This window comes from Homo sapiens, chromosome 7 (genome assembly GCF_000001405.40).
Source record: "Homo sapiens chromosome 7, GRCh38.p14 Primary Assembly".
NCBI classification, from domain to species: Eukaryota; Metazoa; Chordata; class Mammalia; order Primates; family Hominidae; genus Homo; species Homo sapiens.
This window is the reverse complement of record NC_000007.14, coordinates 135,270,192-135,293,032: the sequence shown is the minus strand read 5'-3', so window position 1 is coordinate 135,293,032 and position 22,841 is coordinate 135,270,192. Positions and strand designations below refer to the sequence as shown.

At 45.7% G+C, this 22,841-nt stretch overlaps 1 long non-coding RNA gene and 1 pseudogene across 2 annotated transcripts in view, besides 1 other annotated feature; both read left to right on the top strand.

Moving 5' to 3' along the window:
* The window catches only part of SLC23A4P (solute carrier family 23 member 4, pseudogene), a 36,345-nt pseudogene extending 20,529 nt beyond the window's left edge, over nt 1–15,816 (top strand).
* LOC107984123 (uncharacterized) overlaps nt 1–22,841 on the top strand; it is a 60,858-nt gene that overhangs the window by 25,538 nt on the left and 12,479 nt on the right. The window lies entirely within an intron of this gene.
* Nucleotides 18,438–18,487: an enhancer, noted in NCBI's record as "active region_26714". NCBI's record gives its function as "activates an Ori minimal core promoter by ATAC-STARR-seq in GM12878 lymphoblastoid cells {active_cell/tissue: GM12878}" and the evidence as "EXISTENCE:reporter gene assay evidence [ECO:0000049][PMID:35858748]".

Sequence of the window (22,841 nt, the reverse complement as noted above, 5' to 3'; positions counted from 1 at the left end):
TCAGCTTGGGTGACAGAATGCAATCCTATCTCCAAAACAAAACAAAAACAAAAACCAAACCAAAGATGCATTTTTCTGGGTGCTCTTCCAGACCTACTAAAAGGTCAGAACCTCTCAGGGTTCTGGACATTTTAACAGAATCCCCAGATGATTCTTATGCACATTAATATTAGGGAATCAAGAGAGGCAATGATAGAGTGGGAAGGTGGGGAGTCAGATGATGGCCTACTGTTTTTCACAGCGATGTAGCCATGGACTTCGATGGATAATTGATAAGGTCACCTGGCAAGTTCTGGTTTAGAGGGTAAAGCATGTGGCAGATAATCAAGAATATTTTCCTCAATCAATCTCATCAATGAGATAATTAGTAGCAATTATGCCTGAACCTTGGTTTTTGCCTAAGAGTGCAGCTGTAAATTTTCATGCATTCCCCACGTGTTCTAATGAAATCTGGAGGAAGCATATCTGACATAATTAGTCACTCTCCAAGTTACCCTGAGAGCACCCCATCTCCTTCAGTTAATGCAACCCCCTGCTGTCCTTTATCAGGCCTTGGTGACCTCCTTGAGGCCTGCAGATCCAACCAGGGCAGTTGAATAGGCTTCACTCTGTGTCCTCCCAGAGGCCCTCCAGATCTAAGTGGGCTTATTTGCAGTTGATATCCTCATACCTCATTCCTGTAGAGTGGGGAGAAACAAGGGGAAACTGTTGCTGATAAAGTGGTGAAGAGGAAAATCTCAGGTCGACTCCATGATTCACTTTAAATGAGGTGGGGCAGCAGCCTGAACACAGGGGCCCAGCCCAATACCTCATCTGTTCCCCCTTCCTGTAAGATAATAACAGTACGGGTGATGCATGAATGAGCAACGTATGACTTACAAAACATGTAATGCTCACTACACCATTTGAGGCAGGTTTGATTATTCAGCTTATGGTACAGAGGAAGAAACTCAGGCGTAGACAGATTAAGTGACTCACCTGTTTCCCATTCCATCGTGTTTGCTAAGTGTCTCAGTCTGCTCAAAAGACAATAGACTGGGTAGCTGAAACAACAGAAATGTTATTACAGTTCTGGCGGGTGGAAGTCTGAGATCAGGGTGCCCGCATGGTCGGGCTCTGGTGAGGGCCCGCTATTGGCTTGCAGACAGCCACCTTCTGTGCTGTGTCCTTACATGGCAGGGGTGGGGAGGGGAAAAGAGTTTCTTCTTATAAGGGCACTGATCCCATCACGAGGGCGTCACCATCCTGACCTCATGTAAACTTAAATAGCTCCCAAAGGCCCCACTTCCAAATAACATCCTACTGGGGGTTAAGGCTTCAACATAAGAATTTTGGGGGGATACAGACATTTGGTCCATAGCATTAAGTGACTTATACTTCCCCCAGAGGTGAGCAGTTTTGGTGTATTTGAAAATGGAGGCAATGTTAGTATCGTATTCTGGGAGCAACCCAGGGCATCTGTCTTCTAGGAGAAGATTCCTTGTAGGTCAGGGAATCCCTGGATCTTTGTAACCGGAAGGCTTTGAATGCTGTCAGTTCCCTGTAGGCACGACCTCCACCCTTGATGCTGTAGCATTAGTGAGTCCTGAAACCGAGGTACTTGCAGCCTTTATCCTCATGCCACATGATTTCCTGCCACGCGTGGACACTGGGACTCCCCCATAGTTCTTGCATTCAAGGAGATGAGAGTCTTAAAAGGGGAATTAGAGAAGTGAATAAATAATTAAAACCAGCATGGTCATATTATTACATTCTAAGTGATGTGGTAGCAGGAGAAAGGGGTAGTTAACTTTCTTAGGAAGCCAGCAAGGCTGTGGCACTTGACAAATGATAACCAGCTGGAGGTGGAAGTCAGGGTTGGGAGGAGTCACTGAGAGCAGAGGCAGTCATGCTCACATTTATGGAATACCTGTTATGTTTCTGGCATGATGGATACTATGAGGGGCAAAGTCAGACATGGTCCCTTTGACATCTCAGGCCTGAAGCAGGATATTCTAAAGCAGGATATTTCCCTGACCCCTTCGCGGGACTCACAGCAGCGGTGCCTCAGTTACTCAGCCCACTGCTTTCAACTCCTCATGGGAGGAAGCATGCGAGCAAATGAGATGGGAACTGGAGTAATGAGTGGTGGAACCAGCTGGCTGCTTCAGTACCGGCAGGAACAAACTCCATGTGGGCCCCGCAGCAACATCTAGGTGGAGGTGCCTGTGACCCCCAAAGTCCCAGAGGGCATGGTACAGTGCTCTTTTAGCTGTGCCATCCACAGACAGCTTAAGTGTTAACAGCTCAGTGGACCCTCTGCCTTTTTGTGTGAGGCAGCTGCCCTCCACCTGTGAGGACAAAGGGTCGGTGTGACAGCCTTTTGTATCCACACTTGTGGCTCCTGAGCTCTTGTCCAGCTTCCAGGAAAAATGAGGTCGCACGAATGCATTGAAGGATAGTAAATGCAGGGGATTTTATTGCTGATGAAAATGGCTGCCAGCGGGAAGGGGAGCTGAAAAGGGGACTGGGGGTGGGGGTAGGTAATCTTCCCCTGAAGTCCAGCTGTCTCTGGCTGGATTCTTCTCTGAAGTTATGCCATCAGTTTGTCCCTCTGAAGTCAAGCCGTTTCTCTCCAACATCCAGCCACAGTCTCCGCTCCTCTCCGACTGAGTCTGGGGTTTTTATAGGCACAGGATGGGGTGGGGTGGGGCCATGGGTAGTTTAGGAAAAGGCAACATTCAAGCAGGAAAACGGGATAGAAGTTCTCACGTTGGGCCGCAGTTCCAGGTTTTTGGCTTGAGGGTGGGGTTTTCACCAGGGACCTGCCCTTTTCTGCCTAGAATTTCTCTGCCTCCTGTCCCCATCAGTTCCTTATCTCCATCATCCTAAACTGGGACAGTCTTTTCTGTTACATGATTGCAAAGCACTGTATAACTTCCTTTTACAGCACTTAATCAGAGTTTGTTATTAGTTATTGTTATTGTCCTTCCTCACTAGACAGGAAACCTCTGTCACAGGGATCGTGTCTGACTTTGCTCCTATACCTGAAATGTAGGGCACACCTCCCAGACAGCAGACAGATTCATAATTTTAAAATAAAAAATATACACACACGTATACACATTTATACACATATACATAGTGGCACCGTTGTGTTCCAACCCCATGTGCACAATGTAATGTTCTCCATTCTCTTGTGGAGACTTGTGGGTCTAGATTTGTGACTCTAGACCAGCTGTTCTCATGGATGGCTGTACATTAGATGTACCTGAGGAGCTTTAGGCAATCCCCATGCTGGGTCCATAACCAGACAAGCCCACGGACTTGCCTGGTCAATGCCCAGGCATCACTCATCCTAATGTTCACCAGGCCACAAAGTCCATTTCAGCAGCAAAACTCTTTCATAAACTATATTTTCTTCACATAAAATGTGCTCTTTCTCAAGAATCATCCTTTATGCTTTCTTCATGAAGCACTGATTCAAAAATACCCTTGTAGTATTCAGAAAAAGTACCTGGACTAGGTGGGCCACAGTGACAAATGCAGTCAAGATGCCACGGTCCCTCTGTCCCACCTTCCTACCCCCAAATTCTAATGTCCAAAGCTGGCAGGCTCGGGAAGCCTTGAGAGCCTCTGACCCTCTAGTAAGAGGGGTGGCTGGAGGTTGACTTACCAGGTTGCCTTGACCTCAGTGGGAAGGCAGGGAGGGCAGGCACTGCTAGATGTTCTCACAGAGGCCAAAGTGAGAAGCCCAGCAGGAGTGAGGAGGGCTGGGCTGGGAACATGCCCTGACGAAGGACATATCTTATTGTCCTGCGATAAGAAGGAGCCTGAAGGTCTTGGATTGCTCTTGGTTTCTGAAGACACAAAAGAATCTGACAATCCAGATTTTAAGCTGTGTAGCTCTTGATAGTGGGGTAATCGATTGCTGGGCATTGCACGTGTGGGAGCTCCGCTGTGGGCCTGGGACCTGGGAAGGGTTCTCTGGGGCTGAGGTAGAGAACGGCACCCACTAGGTATGTTCACTGAGCTCCATGCCATCCCCAGATTCTTTCTCAGGGCCTGACTCCTTCCTCCTGGGTTTGGATCTCCAGGCCCAGGTGTGGGTCTGGGTGCCTCCCTGCCTCCCTCTCCTCCCTGTCCAAAGTTTGATAGGGCTCATAGGTCTGCCTTGAACCTTGATAGGATCTCTCTGCAACTGAGAACAGAGGGGTCATGGTTTGCTTCTAAATTGGACTAGGCCGGGCACAGTGGCTCACACCTGTAATCCCAGCACTTTGGGAGGCCAAGACGGGTGGATCACCTGAGGTCAGGAGTTCGAGACTAGCCTGGCCAACATGGTGAAACCCCATCTCTACTAAAAATACAAAAAATAGCTGAGCCTGGTAGTGAGCGCCTGTAATCCCAGCTACTCAGTAGGCTGAGGCACGAGAATCGCTTGAACCCAGGAGGCGGAGGTGGCAGTGAGCTGAGACTGTGCCATTGGACTCCAGCCTGGGCAACAAGAGAAAAACTCCATCTAAAAAAAATAAACACATAATAAATAAATAAATAAATTGGACTAGGACTTGGGATTGAAGGCCCTCCTTGGGGCCACTGACAGGCCAGTGCTAGAGGACCTCATGGGTAACTGCATCCTTTCCCTCCCTCCAGGCTGCCCATTCCCCAGGGAGGTACGTTTGCTTTTGTGGTAATTTCTCTGGCCATGCTCTCCCTTCCCTCCTGGAATTGCCCTGAGTGGACACTCAGTGCCAGCCAGGTGAACACCAACTTTCCAGAATTCACTGAGAAATGGCAGAAGAGGATCCAAGAGGTAACAGAGCAAGGGGGATGGCTGGGAGCAGGAGAGGTGTCTGCAACAGGGACTCTGAGTGCATTCATTCATTCAACATTCATTATCCAACTTCCTGCCAGGCAAGATCCTGGACTTTAAGATACTGCGGTAGATGAGACAGAGAAGGATTCTGCCCTCACAGAGCTAACGTTCTAGTGGACATGTGTGGTAAGGTAGGGTGGAGAGAGAAAGACGCTAATAAGCAAATGGAAAAGGCAAATTTCAGTGAGTTATAAGTGCAATGAAGAAAATAAAACAGAATGATGAGCAAGAGAGGGACTGAGCTGCTCAATGGAAAGGATGGAGAGTGAAAATGGGTGTTCTTGGAAACACTCCTGCGTATATTAAGGAGGAAGAGCTCAAGCATTCCTCCAGCCAGTCCCAGGAAGTAGGGCAGTGAGTAGTACTCCTGCTTTATATTAATTCACTAAACATCATTAGTTGAACATCTGGCAGGTTCCAAGCATTGTGTTGGGACTATAAAGAGGAGAGAGACACATCACGGGGGTAGTGGTGATGACGATGGTGGTGGTGGTGGCGATGGTAGCAACAGATCGTGGTTACTGAGCACTTAGAGTTTTCCAGGCACTCTACTACAAGTTCTTCATAGATGCACAAGTGCCATATTGATAAATGTCCGCAGTGGGCTCAGATTAATGGGAGAACCAACATGCCAGACTAGAGCTCAGCACCACTCTGTTAGTGGGCACTGCCAGCTTAGCTTGCCCATTTTGGAGAGTTGTGCCCCTGTGTTTATCCCACCATGAAGCATGACCCTTGCTAAACTCAATTGTATCATCTGGGGAGAGGAAGTAGTGGCCTGGAGCAGGCTCTGAAAGTCAGCCATGTTCCAGGTTGGCTTATCTGAAGGACCGAGAAGAAAGTCAGCACACTCAGGATTGTTGGCAGAGAGATCACCACAGGCTTAGGGACAGACCCCAGCATCCTCACCCAAAGTGGGCAGGTGGAGGGGTGGCCTGTGGGTGGGGTGCAGCTGTAGGTGGCACACTGTGAGAGAGTGAAGGTCACTTGAGATCTTTAGGGAGGCTTAACCGTCTACTTCCCAGCTCAACCTGAAACACCTAGGGCCATGGCATCTGTGCATGGGCTGGCCTGGGGCTGTGCCCGGCACCACCCTGCTCTGGAGCAAGGGTAGCATTACACAGCACAACGTGATGATGGGGCCCAGTCCAGTGTAGTTTGCTCAGGCAAATACAGCCCCCATTTATTATCTTCTGTACCAACTCCCCATTATCACTGGGACTAGATCAAGGATGTTCCAGAACTTAGGCCTATGGACCTAGAGCACAGCGGGTTCCCTAGATACATCTGGGAGCCAAGCTAAGAAGCCTTAGACCAGGCAGCACCCATCCTACAGCCCACCTTGATCCATGTTGAGGGTCCTCATAGCCTCATTGCTTCAACAATTGCCATTCTCCCATATGGGAAATAAAAAGGACAAACATGGAAGACGGGAAACAACAGTAAGATTCCTATTCCTACCCATGTTTGACCAGTAAGAAGGAACAGAATCCACAAAACATCTCAGTGCCTAACAATGCTATTCTGTGCTTGATAATATTGCTGTAGTTTGTTTTTTCCCTCCTTGCTTCCAAAGTTCGAACTAGTACCTTTTAAAATAAACTTTTTTGTTTTTTGTTTTTGAGACAGAGTCTTGCTCTGTCACCCAGGCTGGAGTGCAGTGGTGCCATCTCAGCTCACTGTAACCTCCGCCTCCTGGGTTCAAACGATTTTCCTGCCTCAGCCTCCTGAGTAGCTGGGACTACAGGCATGTGCCACCAAGCCCAGCTAATTTTTTGTGTTTTTAGTAGAGACGAGGTTTTGCCATGTTGGCCAGGCTGGTCTCAAACTCCTGATCTCAGGTGATCCGCCCGCCTCGGCCTCCCAAAGTGCTAGGATTACAGGTGTGAGCCACTATGCCCAGCCATAAAATAAACTTTTAATTTAAGTCTTACAAGCATAAAGCAAAGAACACAATACATTTTCAAAGTTGAACTGATCTATATAACCTAGCTCAAGAAATAGGCATTACCAACACCCCTTAAGCCCTTTCACACCTACTTCCAGTCACCCCTCCCATAACGGTAACCACTATCCCAGCTTCTAACACCACAAATTAGTTTCATCTGTTTGTGAACTTTGTGGAACCACACAGTACATATTCATTTGTATCTGACTTCGTTTGTTCAATATTATGTTTGCAAGATTCTTCCATATTGTTATGTGCAGTGGTAGATTATTCATACTCATTGCTGAATAATGTTTCATTATATAATGTTCCATTATATAAACAGACAGCAGTTTATCAATTCTGTGTTATCCAAATTATGTGTTTAAGGGTGGTTTCCAGTTATTTGCTGTTGTAAATAGTGTTGCTATGAATATTTGTGTACTTGTGCTTAAGTAAACGTATATATGTACATCCCCTGAATGTGTACTTAGGAGGAGCATTGGTTGGGTCATAGAATGTGTATGTGTCCACCTTTAGTAAGCACTAATGAATACATTTCCAAAGCGGATCTTCCAGTTTACACTCCCACCAGCAGTGTGTGTGAGCTCCAGTTATTTTACATTCTCACAAACATTTTCTATCTTTTTTGTTTTAGCCGTCCTGGTGGTACATTTGTAGCATTTTAATGATGCTGTTGGGATGATTTAGAGTTAATTATAATTGTCCCTCCTCAACTGGTAGTTCTGTTTGACTTCCTTGGGTCACTTTTTCCCTATGCTTACCACATTAACTGGTGACTGGAGTTAAATATCCTGATATAGACTTTGTCAGATATCATCATTTCCATGATTTTCATTTCACTGAATGTCATGCAAATCTTAATCTAACATAAAAGTTCAAGCAACAGACCATGTCCTAATGTGCCAGCATCACATTAGGAATTGGCTGTGTTCACAACGGTCCCTCCTCCTTGCCCATCCAGCTCAGCCAAGTGTACTCTGGGCCCAGTTTTATCAAGACAATAACATTAAATGTGTTCCAGTTTGGTAGAATCAACTCTGATGCCATCGTCTCTCATCTAAGACTGAAGACATATCTAAAAATATTGCTAAGAAATAATTTTACTAGCAACTTATTTTAAAGGTAAAGGGCAAAAGTAGCATCATTTGGTACAGCAGTATTTCTGGTGGCTCCAGTTCTTTCTGCTACCATCTTTTCTCCCCCCACTGGGATGCCTGAGCCCATTCCCTTGCTCCTATTAAAGGAGGAGTATTGGATTCCTTCTCTGTTATCCTTCAAATACTGAGCAGCAAAAGTAACACCATTAAACCTACTTCATGTGTCCTTCCCAAGGTACCTTCAAATGACTTAATAAGTATATTGTAACTGGGTCCTCTCCACTGGGTTGGGTGCATCTTGAAAATACCAGATTTATCAGTACAACTCATAAATGCCTTCAGGGTTCCAACAAGTGAAATTAAATTAATTTGTATTATTCCTACTTTAGGGAACACAATCAAATCCCTAGTCCTGGAAAGATTTCCTTATCTCTCCATTTCTCAACCTATGCCTTAGACAATGCTCCGCTGTTGACTTGCTCTCGTGCTTCTCCTACCCTGGAAAGCCAGGCCTCTGTGTCTTTCTCACCATCATTTTGTTCCTTCAAGCACACATTGCAATTTTTTTCAAAACTGTGCTGCTTTGTAGAAGTGATGTGAAATATGAAGAGGTCATTTGAGATTGTATTTCTTGGTCTACTCTTGCCCCGTTCATGCTGTGAAAAGTGATCCTTGAGCTGTTGATGTGTAAGTTGATATCATGTTGGTGGGTGATCTGGGCTGCCAGTCTTTTTATAGTACTCTGGGTCAGATCTTTAGTTGCAGAATGGGCAAAGCTCAAACCAGAAACATTGTCAATACCAGTTTTTTAAGTCTTTAAATTTCCCTTGCTCTGCGATATGTCCAGGATAGGCAGCCTGCCAGCTCTGTGATGGGCCATAAACCCTCAAAATATATTCCCCCACCAAAGGCACATGAGCCCATTGCTGTTGGCAATCTGGACCGTCCTGGGTGACACAAGTGGCAACAGATGGAGGTGGGGATTATGTTGTTTGTGAGCGTGTGTGTGCATGGCTTGTGGCCCAAGGTGTCATCTTGTGGACTCTAGTGACTACATTCAAAGACATACTTCCCTCTTTTTAAGACTAAGGGGCATCAACATGAACAACCAGTCTCTAAAATTTAACCATGAAGTCCTGTCCCATGAAAGGGAAGAAATGTAAATAGCATTTTCTGTGATTCACTTGCCAGATCAGTTAGTTTATTAACTATGGCCCAGGAATCCATGGAATTACATATGGTATAATTGCTGGTAGGATTTGCATGTGCACAGTTACCACGTCATACACACCTTGGTCCTTTGGACCGACTTAGACTTGCCATACTTCTATCAGGGGCCTTCCGTTGGCTGGACAGAATGTTGCATTCTTCTAGTTCCAGCCTTTCCCAGTTAATTGAGTTCCACCTTCAGAAAGATGCCAACTAGTGCTTTTGAATTCAAAGATTTGTACAATGGGGCCCAAGTCTCTGTTGCTGGATTTAGATTATACTGTGAGGTTTGGCTGCCCTAGGGGATGGGGACTAAATCACTTGCTTGTGGATATTATGTATCTTTCCTGGGTAATTGTCTTTTTTTTTCCTGAATATGACTATTTCCCTGTAATCAACACATTTTGTTTATCAGGCCGTTCCTCATTAGAATGTCTTTCTGACATCACTCAAGACATGATTGACATCTCTGATTTACACTTATTTGCTTATTCATTAGTGGTCTAACCCCAAACAATGCCCAGTGGTGGACTGCTTGGTAATGGTCTTTCAAAGGCAGAGTGGTTGAGTAGCTGCCTTGGGCCACATCTGCACCAAAAGCCCCATGGCAGTGCTGGACACCTGTCTTTTGCAGGGTCAGTCCTCATTCAGCGTAGACTCCATCACCAACACTTCCCATAGCTCAGGAGCACTGTGCCTGTGAGGATGCAATAGACCAATCTGAGCCCTAACTTGTGAATTTCAGCTAGAACCTTCTGTTACTCTTCTCTACTTTCAACGACAGCCTTTTTGCATGTGCCTGTACTCTGACATATAGTCCAAAAGTACAGCCAGATGTAAGTAGACTCAATTGCCTCATCAAATTCCTGTCCTTCCTTTTTATCTCAGGGTGGACCCAGAGTTAACAAGGCATTTCAAGCTTTAAAGAACTGTTCCATGTAGCTCTAGACCAAGATATACCTAAGGCCTTCACCCGTCAAGCTGGTGGGGCCTGGAGTTTTGCCAGGTCGGTTGTCCAATCTCAGAGCGGTATGTGCTGCACTACCTTTTCCAAATCAAGAAGTTCTTCAGCGAAGTCTATTCATATCGTATCATCAATAGAATGAATCACAGCACACATGCAGTTTGTGGGTTTGTGGGGTTTCCTGTTTTTGTTGCTTTTTGCTGTCCCCCGGGGAGCCTATACTTGGCTTTGGTAAATCCAAATTAAAACTGGGCATCTGCTCTGCTAGATTCCAGGGCAGGGTTTCCCTACACTCAGCCCCGCTGAGAACTACGATTCCTTATGTAAGAATCTGTTGCCTTCCTACTTCCCAAGAAATAAGATCTGACAAGTTAATTCGTCTTTACTCCTAGTTAAGCCCTTCTGCTGCTCAAATCCTTCCTGTATTTTAATGCAATGTCTGCCTCTATCACTGCAATGGAACAACTGAAAAAACTTCAGTATGGCTGGGTGTGTTGGCTCATGCCTATAATTCCAGCACTTTGGGAGGCTGAGGCGGGCAGATCACCTGAGGTCAGCAGTTTGAGATCAGTCTGGCCAACATGATGAAACCCCATCTATATGAAAAATACAAAAATTAGCCGGGTGTGATGGTGCACGCCTGTAGTCCCAGCTACTCGGGAGGCTGAGACACGAGAATCTCTGGAACCTGAGAGGCAAAGGTTGCAGTGAGACGAGATTGTGCCATTGCCGTCCAGCCTGGGCAACAGAGCAAGACTCTGTCTAAAAATGCAAAAACAGAAAACTTCAGTGCATTTAGAAGCAGTTGCCTTGTGTTTTGAGGACGGTGGACAACAGTTATGGAAAGGAATGTTCCTGGGGGCCTGAACAGTATCAGTAGTGAGAGTGGATGTTTAGGGATTTGGGTCATGCCCTGCCAGCACTGAGGACTAGATTCCAAGTGACAGAGGCATTCTTATTTTCTTTAATACATTTGCTGTTTACTTTTGTGCTTGTGATATGTAGAATCCTCTAAAGCAGTTTGCAAAATATGGCTCTTGGACCAAATCCAGCCTGTGACCTCTTTTCCTTTAATGGCCCATGAACTAAGAATGCTTTTAAAGGTTGTTTTACAAAAAGATCGTGCATCAGAAACTACATGTGGCCTACAAATTCTAAAATATTTACTATCTGGCCTTTTACGGAAAAAGTTTGCCAATCGTTGCTCTGAAACAGAGGGCCCAGGTCTAAGGGAGCCATCTTCACCCACACTGCCCCCAAGTGTCCAACACAGTGTGTCACAAACCTGGGGTCTTAGCTGTGGTATTTTAGCTCCCTCTGCTGGGCCAATGTTTTTCACCAGTGCTGTAAACACGAGAAAGTTCTTGCTAATTGCAACTTCATCTTATTAATTGATGATTGATTGGTTTTATTCACCGAGTCAGCCTATTGGAAGGGAAGATAGATTCCTCATGTTTCACTAAGTTATACTGATCCACACACATCTCAAGGTTTGAAACCACTGACGGTCAGCCGACCAATTATACAGCACAATACTAGCCACAGATGAAAGTGACAGCAATATGGAACCAACAGGATTATCATTACTCATTGGGATGCAAGAAGTAGTGGAGAGGGAAAAGTGAAAGATGATTCTGTTTTGCGGGAATGGTGGTTGCAGAAAAAGTAGAAAACCGTGGGAAGAAACGGCAAATTCAGTTTTCAACACCTTAGACCAATTTAAACGTCATCCTCCAGTATCATGGTAGTTTGAGCTAACATAGAACCCACAAACATTACCAACACCTGAAAATGCTGGATGAACGGTTATTAAATCCAGAATCAAGTTCAAAACCAAGGAGGAAAACCTTACTTTCTAGAAACAAAGATGGGAATTATAGCCAGGATCATGTGGCTTATGATGGTTAGGTAAAGAATCAGACCCAGATATAGGACCGAAGGCTAGGAGCTTGGGTTGTAATGATCAACTGGGATCTGGAAGAGCACCCACTTCAGTGAGCGTGGGAAATAATAACGCTACCATTCCAGGGAATAAACAAGGAAACTTTTATTCTTCCTAGAGGTCTGTGGGAAGTGTTAGAATATGGAGTTGCATGAAAAATAAGGACTCCAACTCTACAACACGTGAACACATATGGGTGTGGTGGAAAGATTTGCAAGCTCAGAAATTAAAGCTAAAACTGGTCCTGCCAATAAAATACCTGTGGTTCTCACAGAAGAAAATGTACAATTATTCTTTAGGGATATTTCCACATTCTAAAGCACGTAAGACACAGGGAAGAAAAAGAATGCCCCTGAAGAAGAGTTCACAGACATAAATTTTGTCATTTCACACCAGGTAATAATGTATTATGAGAGAGAATCAGTAGAATCCAGAGCTAATAGAACAATTTAAAAGATAATAGTAAATCAATATGTTTAAAATAATTAAAGAGACTCAAGAAGCAATAGAAACCATAATCTAGAAGATAAAATGAAACAAGAACAAGGAAATTTGAACATAGAACCAAATAGAAGTTTAGTAATAAAAACAAATAAAGTCACTGCAATTAAAAAATGCATTTAATGAGTTAAACAGCATTTAGACACAGCTAAAGAGATATTCATGAATTGAAAGATTATCTAAGGAAATAATCCAGAATGCAGCACTGAGAGATAAAAAGATGGGAAATGTGAAATAGAGGATGAGAAATATGAAACAGAAGTTAAGAAATGTGAAGCTAGACTGAGAAGTCCAGCATGTTTCTAACAGGAATTCCTGAAAGTGATAATGAGAAAATGGAAAAGTGATAGTATTAGAAGTGATATAATGGCTAATACTATTTTGGAACAGATAAATATGAATATTCAGATTTTAAAAGCACATGTAGTCCCAAGTGTAATAAACAATTAAGTCTACAATTAGATATATCATAATGAAACTGCAATACAAATACAAAGAGAAAAATCTTAAAAGTAATAAGACAGAAAAAAATGCCTACAAAAGAATAGCAATTGGACAGTTAGCAGCCTTCTCACTAGCAACGGTAGAGGCTGGAAGACAATGGAATATTTTCAAAATGCTAAGAGAAAATATTATCATCCTAGAATTCTATCCCACTGTAGAACCCCACATCAGGCAACACTGATAGCAAAATAAAGACATTTTCAGGTAAACGAAGACTAAGAGTTTATCAGTCACAGACCCTTATTAAAATAATTATTAAAAGCTAAACTTCAGGAAAAAGGAAATGGAATCTCGAATGAAAGAGTGGTGGAAAAGAAGCTATAAGTGAGCAGAGGAACATATGGGTAGAAAACATAGGTGGGTTAGTCAGCTTGGGCTGCCACAACAAAATACTATAGCTGGGTGCAGTGCCTGTATATGTCTGTAGTCCCAGCTACTTCATAGGCTAAGGCCAGAAGATTGCTTGAGTCCAGGAGTTCGAGACCAGCCTGGGCAACATAGTGAGACCCTGTCTTTACAAAACAAAAACAAAAACCAACCATAGACTGGGTGGCTTGAACAACTGAAATTTATTTTTTCACAGTACTGGAGGCTGGAAGTCTGAGATCTGGATGCCAGCATGGTCAGCTTCTGAGGGGTGCTCCTTTCCTGGCTTGCAGATGGCCACCTTCTAGCTGTGTCCTCACAAAGACTTTCCTTGGTACATGCAGAGAGAGAGAGGAGAGAAGACAGAGAAAAATCTCTTCTCTTTATAAGGGTACTAAGCCCATCAAAGGGGCTTTTCCCTTATGTATTAGTCTGTTTTCATGCTGCTGATAAAGACATACCCAAGACTGGGTAATTTATCAAGAAAAAGAAGTTTAATGGACCAAACAGTTCCAGGTGGCTGGGGAAGCCTCACAATCATGGCGGAAGGTGAACGGCACGTCTTACATGGCAGCAGGCAAGAGAGAATGAGAGCTAAGTGAAAGGGGAAACCCCTTATAAAATCATCAGCTCTTGTGAGACTTATTTACTACCATGAGAACAGTATGGGGGAAACCACCCCCATGATTCGGTTCTCCCACTAGGTCCCTCCCACAACATGTGAGAATTATAGAAGCTATAATTCAAGATGAGATTTGGGTGGGGACACAGCCAAACCATATCACTTTATGACCTCATCTAAACCTAGTTTCTTCCCAAAGGCTCCATCTTCAAACACCATCATATGAATTTTGAGGGAACACAAACGTTTACTTCACAGTACTAGGTAAATCCAAATAAGCACTAATTGTAGGAAAATATAATAAAAACAATAATGAGCAATGGCAGTGGAAAAATAAACAAATATTTGACAACAATAGCAGAATGGTGGTAGAAGTTCAAGTTTTCTAAGGTCACTGTACTATTTGATGGGAGACTAGACATTTTATTTACCCATGGGCAGTGTTAAGTGAACAATTCACATTAAAAAGTTGTGAGCAACTTCTAAAAGAATAAAATAACAAGTCGAACATCCAAACAGTAAAATAAAATGGGGAAATAAAGCAAACTTAATCCAGCAGATAAGTTGGCAAATTGCAGCCCAGGAGCCAGATCTGGCCCATCACCTCCTTTAGAGCAGACAGCCCACGACCAAGCATGGTTTTACATTTTAAGTGGTTAAAAAAATCAAAAGAAGAACATTTCATGACACATCAGAATTATCTGAAATTCAAATGTCAGTGTCTATAAGTGAAGTTTTATTGGAACACAGCTACACTCATTTCTTCACATCTTGTCTGGAAAAGTTGTGACAGAGCCCGTATGGGCATAAAGCTGAAAATATTCACTTTTTTGGTCCTTTACAGAAAAAGTTTGCATAGCCGGGCGTGGTGACTCACGCCTGCAATCCCAGCACTTTGGGAGGCCCAGGCGGGCAGATCACGAGGTCAGGAGTTCAAGACCAGCCTGACCAACATAGTGAAACCCTGTCTCTACTAAAAATAAAAAAAAAAATTAGCCGGGCATGGTGGCGCGCACCTGTCATCCCAGTTATTCAGGGGGCTGAGGCAGGAGAATCGCTTGAACCCGGGAGGCGGAGGTTGCAGTGAGCTGAGATCGTGCCACTGCGCTTCATCCTGGGTGACAGAGTGAGATTCCGTCAAAACAAACAAACAAAACAAAACCAAACAAAACAAAGAAACCCAGAAAGTTTCCCGACCTCTGCAATAGAAACTAGGAAAACAGAAAAATGCTGCAGCAAGATGTTCAATACACGACCGAGTGTGCTAGTGTTGGGAGTCGCCAACATCATCATCATTGTGACTACAATCAATAATTAATTTTGAAGCCTATTTCCTGAAAAGCTTTGTTCAGCGAAAAAGTCCAACACGCAGTTGGAAATACAGACTGGAGGGAGGAGGGAAATCAGAGTTCTCCTTCTCTCAGTTCCTTTGGGGTCCAGCTTTGCCCCTGCACTGCCTAAGAACCGCCTAGGGGTCACCAGATTTCACCATGGGCTGCAGCATCCAGAACTGTCACGGTGGCCTGGGCCGCGCCTAGGGGCTGCAGCCTCCGGGACTGTTACGGTGGCCTGGGCCGCGCTGAGGCCCACAGTCCTGAGCACTTCTCCCCTTCGGCTGCAGGGTGCTATCATGGTCACTTCCTGTGTCCGGATGCTGGTGGGCTTCTCAGGCCTGACTGGCTTTCTCATGGGTTTCATCTGCTCCTTGGCCGTTGCTCCAACTAACTGCCTAGTGGCCCTGCCCCTCTTGGATTCTGCAGGCAATAATGCCGGGATCCAGTGGGGGATTTCTGCCATGTAAGTGCTCCCTGGGGAGGGAGTGCCATGTACGTTCTCTTTGGTGGAGAGTCACCCAGAAAGAATAATGGAGGGCCTGGATATTGGTAAACTCTTGTGGTTTACAAAGACTTTCATGAATGTTATCAAACCTTAAAAAGCATCAAAGTTGTTACCCATAATTCATCGTGACTGCTCATTATTATTATCCTATTTGTATTCACAATGAGGCGGAGGTTTCAGCGAGGAGAGATTGCGCCACTGCGCTCCAGCCTGGGCAACAAGAACAAAACTCCATCTCAAAAAAAAAAAAAAATAGAAAAGAAAGGAAAACAGATTCACAGGTGTTGGGAAAAGCTGAGTGTTGGGAGAAGCTGAGGCAGGGCTTGCATGTCTGACATAATGTAAAAGAGTCTCGGAACATGTCCGGGGTCCAGGGCCTAAAACCCCTTGTGGCCTTTGGAACACCAAGCTCTGTGCTAAATGGTGGAAGGCTGCCCTGCCGCACCATAATCTAATCCTAGGGCATAAAATCCCTCATGGCTTGGATAGAATCCAGGGCTTGTGGCTCTAGAATGTGTCTAGACTTGCTGGCTCCTTGATCTCCCAGGATCAATTGTATCTTGAGTTAAAAGAACCTGCTCTCCATTATCTCAAGTAGCAGAGCAAATGCTAAACCATCACAGCTGTAAATCATGGGCTTAATACAATGTGCCCTTTCAACCTCCACATTCTCACCACCTGTTTCTTTGTTGCATTACCAATAAATAGCATGGGCTCCCCAGAGCTCGGGGCCTTCACAGCTTCCACAATTGCGATAGCCCCTTGGTCCCACTTGTCTCTCTCAAACTGTCTTTTCTCAATCTTTTGACTCCGCCAGACTTTGTCGCCCTCATGACCTGGTGTTGGATCTGATCACCCCAACAACAGGTTTGGGGAGAAGGGCGCGGGCCTCTGTAAGGGGCTATGATTTTGTCTTCCACATCTGGCCTTCTTTGCTTGTGGTGATTCCACAGGCAGAAATTCAATACTGGCCCTGGCAGAGCTCTTTGGTGGCTTTCTGAAGTGTAGTGGGGAGTTTCATTACCTCCGACCCAGCCCTGCATCTGAGCTCCAACCCTGAATATTCACGTGTGTCCCAACCATCCCTGCCTGATGTCCTAAGGGCACCTCACCCTCAGTGGCCTCTGTGAAGCTCAGCCCGTGCCCCCTTCCTGACTTCTGCGATCCTTGTCTTACTGGGCCCACCCAGTCACCCACATTATCTGTAGCTTCTTGCTGTTCTGCACCCTCACTGGGGGGTTCTATTTTCTCAACACCCCCACTTGCTTCCTGTCCTCTTTTCTCCATTTCCGGGCCCATGGCTTCATCATTGCACTTGGACGTGCAGTGACCTCTTACATTCTTTCTTTCCAGAATCTTGCCCATGTCATTCTACCACCTGGCTACCCAAGGATCTTTCTAGAACCTAATTCTGATGAGATTAGTCTCTGCTTAAAATCTCTTCATGGCTCTCCATTTTTTCACAGGAAAGCTCCATAAGGTCAGCAGGAATTCTTCAGGATGGAGCTTTCTAAGGTGACATGGAAATGATGGTGTCTAATCACATTGCTTTCCACGTATCTCAGTGGACCTCTGCAGTTCCCAGCACAAGTCCTGTGAGCTTTGGAACAATACAGACCCTCCCTGCTGCCCACACTCCACCTTGCATTTTCTTTTTTCTTTCATTATTATTATTATTTTTGAGATGGAGTTTCCCTCTGTTCCCCAGGCTAGAGTGCAGTGGCACGATCCTGGCTCACTGCAACTTCCGCCTCCCAGATTCAAGTGATTCTCCTGCCTCAGCCTCCTGAGTAGCTGGGATTACAGGTGTCCACCACCACGCCTGAAAGATTTTTGTATTTTTAGTAGAGATGGGGTTTCACCATGTTGTCCAGGCTGGTCTCAAACTCCTGACCTCAGGTGATCCACCCACCTCGGCCTCCCAAAGAGCTGGGATTACAGGTGTGAGCCACCGTGCCCCCCTTGCATTTTCTCATAGCTCCATCAGTGGTTCTGACATGCAGCTTGGTAGCATCGTGTCTTTCTATTATCAGATCTGCCCACCTCTGTCCTCCTGCATGCCTCTGGCACACAGCTATAGTTGATATGTGAGCAAATAGCTGAGCCAGCATCTACCCCAAAAGCAGATTCTACATTCTGTGACATCATGGACTCTTTGATACTTGTCCAAGGTTTCAAAGCCTTTAGCGCAGGCGAGGGGAACGTTTTCCACAGGAGGACCACTGAACCACGCTGAAACATAGCTGGAGAGGAACAAATAAGTATAAAGCAGCAAATATTTTTTTTCCTGCTAAAGGGAGTGCATTTCATGCAGAACATAAAACTATATTCAATATACAGAACAAACATTTATTTGATGTATTATCTCTAAAATAAGGCCCTTAAAGGAGAGGAAAGAAAGAAAGATACATAGACACAGCAGGCTACGAATCAATTAGAAGGCTTAGATTAACCCTGAAAGAGGCACCAGTGCAAAGACCACTTCATTTATGGAATCACACCTCCCCCTCGTGGCCTTTTAAGGTATTGCTTCGTGTTGCGTCTTCGCAAGGATGAGCTCTGGCCATTTGGTTCTCCACGTGAGTAGGGGGACGTCAGGCCCAAGACCAGAGATCTCCTGCCACTTCTCTAGGGTACCACAGCTCCCTGCCCAAAAGTCAGTTCTGAGGCCAGAAGAGGCCCAGGGCTGCATGAGAAGTGGAATTGGCGGGTGACTGCAATCTTTATGAGACCATCCGCAGATCCAAAGGGCGTTGGTTGATCCTCACAAATTGTTCCCATAGTTAATTGTTAGGATTGTAAACAAAACAAAACAAAATGTTCTTTTGATGTGGTAAGAATTTTTTTTTTCTTTTAATCTGAGATGGAGTCTCACTTTTGCCACCCAGGTGGGAGTACGGTGGCGCTATCTTGGCTCACTGCAATCTCTGCCTCTTGGGTTGAAGCGATTCTCCTGCCTCAGCCTCCAAGTAGCTGGGAATACAGGCGTGTGCCACCACACCTAGCTAATTTTTGTATTTTTAGTAGAGATGGGGTTTCACCATGTTGGCCAGGCTGGTCTCGAACTCCTGAGCTCAGGCAATCCGTCTGCCTTGGCCTCCCAAAGTGCTGGGATTATAGGAGTGAGTCACCTTGCCCGGCTTAGAGTTTTTTTTTTTAATTTAATTGCCATAAAAGACATATAATATAAAACTTACCATCATAACCGTGTTAAAGTGTACAGCTCAGTACTGTCAAGTATGTTCACATTGTTGTACAACAGATCTCCAGAACTTTTCCATCTCACAAAGTTGAAACTGTATTAGAATGTCTTTGCAGGGGTCCCCAACGCCTAGGCTGCAGAGCAGTACTGGTCTGTGGCCTGTTAGAAACTGGGCTGCACAGCAGAAGGTGAGTGGTGGGTAAGCCAGCATGACCTCCTGAGCTCCACCTCCTGTCAGATCAGCGGCAGCATTTGATTCTCACAGGAGCGTGAACCCTTTTGTGAACTGCACATGCAAGGGATCTAGGTTACCTGCTCCTTATGAGAATCTAATGCCTGATGATCTGAGGTGGAACAGTTTCATCCTGAAACCATCCCCCACCCCAACCAGTCTGTGGAAAAATTGTCTTCCATGAAACCTGTCCCTGGTGCCAAAAAGGTTGGGGACCACTGTTTTAAATGCTGGGAGTAGACACAAATGGATGAGAAACAGATTCAAGAACTATCTAAATCATCTACTGTGGCCTGGCACTGTGGCTTACACCTGTAATCCCAGCACTTTGGGAGGCTGGGGCAGGAGGATTGCTTGAGGCTGAGCCCAGGAGTTCAAGACCAGCATGGGACCTTATCTCTACAATTTTTGTTTTTAATTAGCCAGGCATGGTGGTACATGCCTATAGTCCCAGCTACTCAGGAGGCTTAGGCAGGAGGATCACTTGAGCACTGGAGGTAGAGGCTGCAGTGAGCCATGATCATGTCTCTGCACTCCAGTCTGGATGACAGAGTGCGATCTTGCCTCAAAAAAAAAAAAAAAATCCATTGACAATAGAGTCATGATAAGATATTCAAACAAGAACATTTACAAATAGCCCTAACTTTGGAGAATGATACCAAGTGTCTTAAAGTCAGGAGTCTTTTTTTAAGACTTAAAATTTTAGAGCCACTGCACTCCAGCCTGGGCAACAGAGTGGGACTCCGTCTCAAAATAAATAAGTAAACAATAATAATAATAATGAAACATTTTACAGAGGGAGCTTTAGAAATGCAAATCTCATTATGTCACTAACTTGCTTAAAACTCCTCTACCAAGGGTTTCTCTCATCTTTGGATTTTTTATTTTTAATACACATAACATAAAATTTACCATCTTAACCATGTCTGAGTGTACAGTTGGGAAGTGTTAAGTACATGTATATTATTATGCAACCATCATCACCATATATCTTGTAAACTCTTTTCATCTTGAAAAATTAGAACTCTGTCCCCATTAAACAACAAGTTCCCATTTCTCCCTCCTCTGGCTTCTAGCAACCACCATTCTCCTTTTGGTGAATTTAACTACTATGGGTACCTCATATGAGTAGAACCTTACAGGATTTGTCTTTTTATGACTGGCTCATTTCACTCAGCGTAATGTCTTCAAGGTTCATCCATGCTGTAATGTGTACTAGAATTTCCCTCCTTTTTCTAGGCCGAATAATATTCCATGGTAGGAGTATGCCATGTTTTGCTTATGCCTTCCCTTTGGATTTTATTCTGACTCTTTTCCATGGCCCCCAAGGCCCTGCAGGACATCCCATCTCCTCCCCCTCTCCCTGTGTCACTGGGCCCCAGGCACGATGATTTTCCTTTTGCTCTCAAACCACCCAAGCTCCTCCCACCACAGAGTCTGCATTTGCTGTTTCCTCTCTAGAATTCTCTTCTACCAAATCTTCATGTCCGTGACTCCTTCTCTTCCTTTGGGTCTCAGCCAAACTCTCACCTCCTGGGCAGGCCTTTTCTGATTGCCCTCCAAAGAGCCTCCCATCCCAGCCACCCCCTGCCCTGTGACTTCATTATGGAAGACTGATTGCTATCAGAAATTGTCTTCCTTCTTTATTAGCCTGGCTGTTTGGTATCTGTCTCTTCCGAAGATAATAGTACCTCCATTGACAAAGTCACAGGCAACATGGATATGGAATAGATATGGTGTAAATCAAGCACCCTGTCTGTGAACTCATAATGCTGTTTACAAAACCCGGGGGGCTGGGTGCAGTGGCTCATGCCTGTAATCGCAGCACTTTGGGAGGCTGAGGTGGGCTGATCACGTGCGACCAGGAGTTCGAGACCAGCCTGGCCAACATGGTGAAACCCCATCTCTACTAAAAATACAAAAATTAGCCGGGCATGGTGGCACGTGACTGTCATCCCAGGTGCTCGGGAGGCTAAGGCATGAGTATCCCTTGAACCTGGGTGGTGGAGGTTGCAGTGAGCCAAGATGGTACCACTGCACTCCAGCCTGGGTGACAGATCAAGACTCTATCTCTGGAAAAGAAAAGAAAAGAAAAAAAAAAAAAAACCTCAGGGTACTAATTGCCAGGCTGGACACAGGAGACCTGGTGTTATGCAAGCGTGACTACCCTGTGGCCTTGGGCCCCTTGCTCCCTCTCTTTGGGCTTTGATTTTCTCTTCTGTAAAATGAGAGGTTTGAACAAGGCACCCTCCAGGTTTCCGTCCTGCTCTGGCCCTCTATGATATATTAAACATGTGCATATCAGGTGCGTATGGCCACAGGAGTGTTGTGGTCAAGGTGCGGCTACAGGAGGCAAAATGAGCGAGATTCCTGTCTTTGGGGAATAGATCTGGTGGGGAAATAGAAACACATGATCTGAGTGGATAACAGCACGGGCCGCCCGCAGAGACGTAGCATCATACACGAGAACTTTACACCTCTATCCCTTGCAAAAAACCTCTGCCCTTTATTGAGCACCGACTATGCTCAGTGCTTACTATTGTAAGCACTTCACCTACGTGACAGGACTTAGCCTTGTGAAGTAGGTGTTATCAATCCCCTGTGGCTCACGTGGAGGCTGACATTCGGAGAGATTAGGTAACGCACCCAAAGTCACAGAGCTAGTTAGAGGCGGAGCTGGGATTGGCTTTCAAACCTCCATTCTGAAGCGCTGGGCCGCTCTTCCTTGGTGAGCTTTCCCTGGCCTTGCTGTCCAGGCTTCCTGGGAGGGAAGCATCAGAGCCAGGACCTGAAGACATGAGAGAAGACAGAAGTGATGAGGTGAGGGCACAGGCCGTGTGCCCAGCGTACACCTTCATCCTTTCCCAAGCCCCGTTTGGGAGCAGAGGGAGTGGTATGGGATGAGGTGGTGCTGCTCCTGCAGTGGGCAGAGGCCTCCGGGGGCGCCTGGCCTGGCTGGTGCTCCTCACTCTCTGTCCCTGGCTGCTGCAGGTGGGGAGTAGGGCAGTGATTGTCACCGCGGGCCGTGTGCTGCTCCTGATGGGCGCATTTGGGAAGATCAGGGCTGCGTTTGCCACCATCCCCACCCCGTGATCGGAGGCATGTCCCCACCCCCGTGATCGGAGGCATGACCCTGTTTGGGGTCATCACTGCCGTGGGGATCTCCAATCTGCAGGTGAGGCGAGCGAGGTGCTCTTGGGAAGGCAGCAGCAGTGCCTCTCCTGAGAGGAGCTGGTGGGACTGAGATGGATGGGACTGAGATGGATGGGGCTGGGGCAGGGGAGGAGGAGAAGTCAGTCCTGGGTCCCAGATACCACACTGGCCCCTAAATGGAGCAAAGAAACAGCCAGAAGCATCCAGACCTCTGCAAACCAGCAGTGAAGGTGCTGATGGCCCCGCCTGCCTCTAGGTCCTGTCTCCCGCAGTACGTGGAGATGAACTTGTCCAGGAGCCTCTTCGCCTTTGGCTTCTCCATCTACTGTGGGCTCACCATTCCCAACCGGGTGAGCAAAAACCCCGAGATGCTCCAGACAGGTGACTGTTCCCTGCCCTCT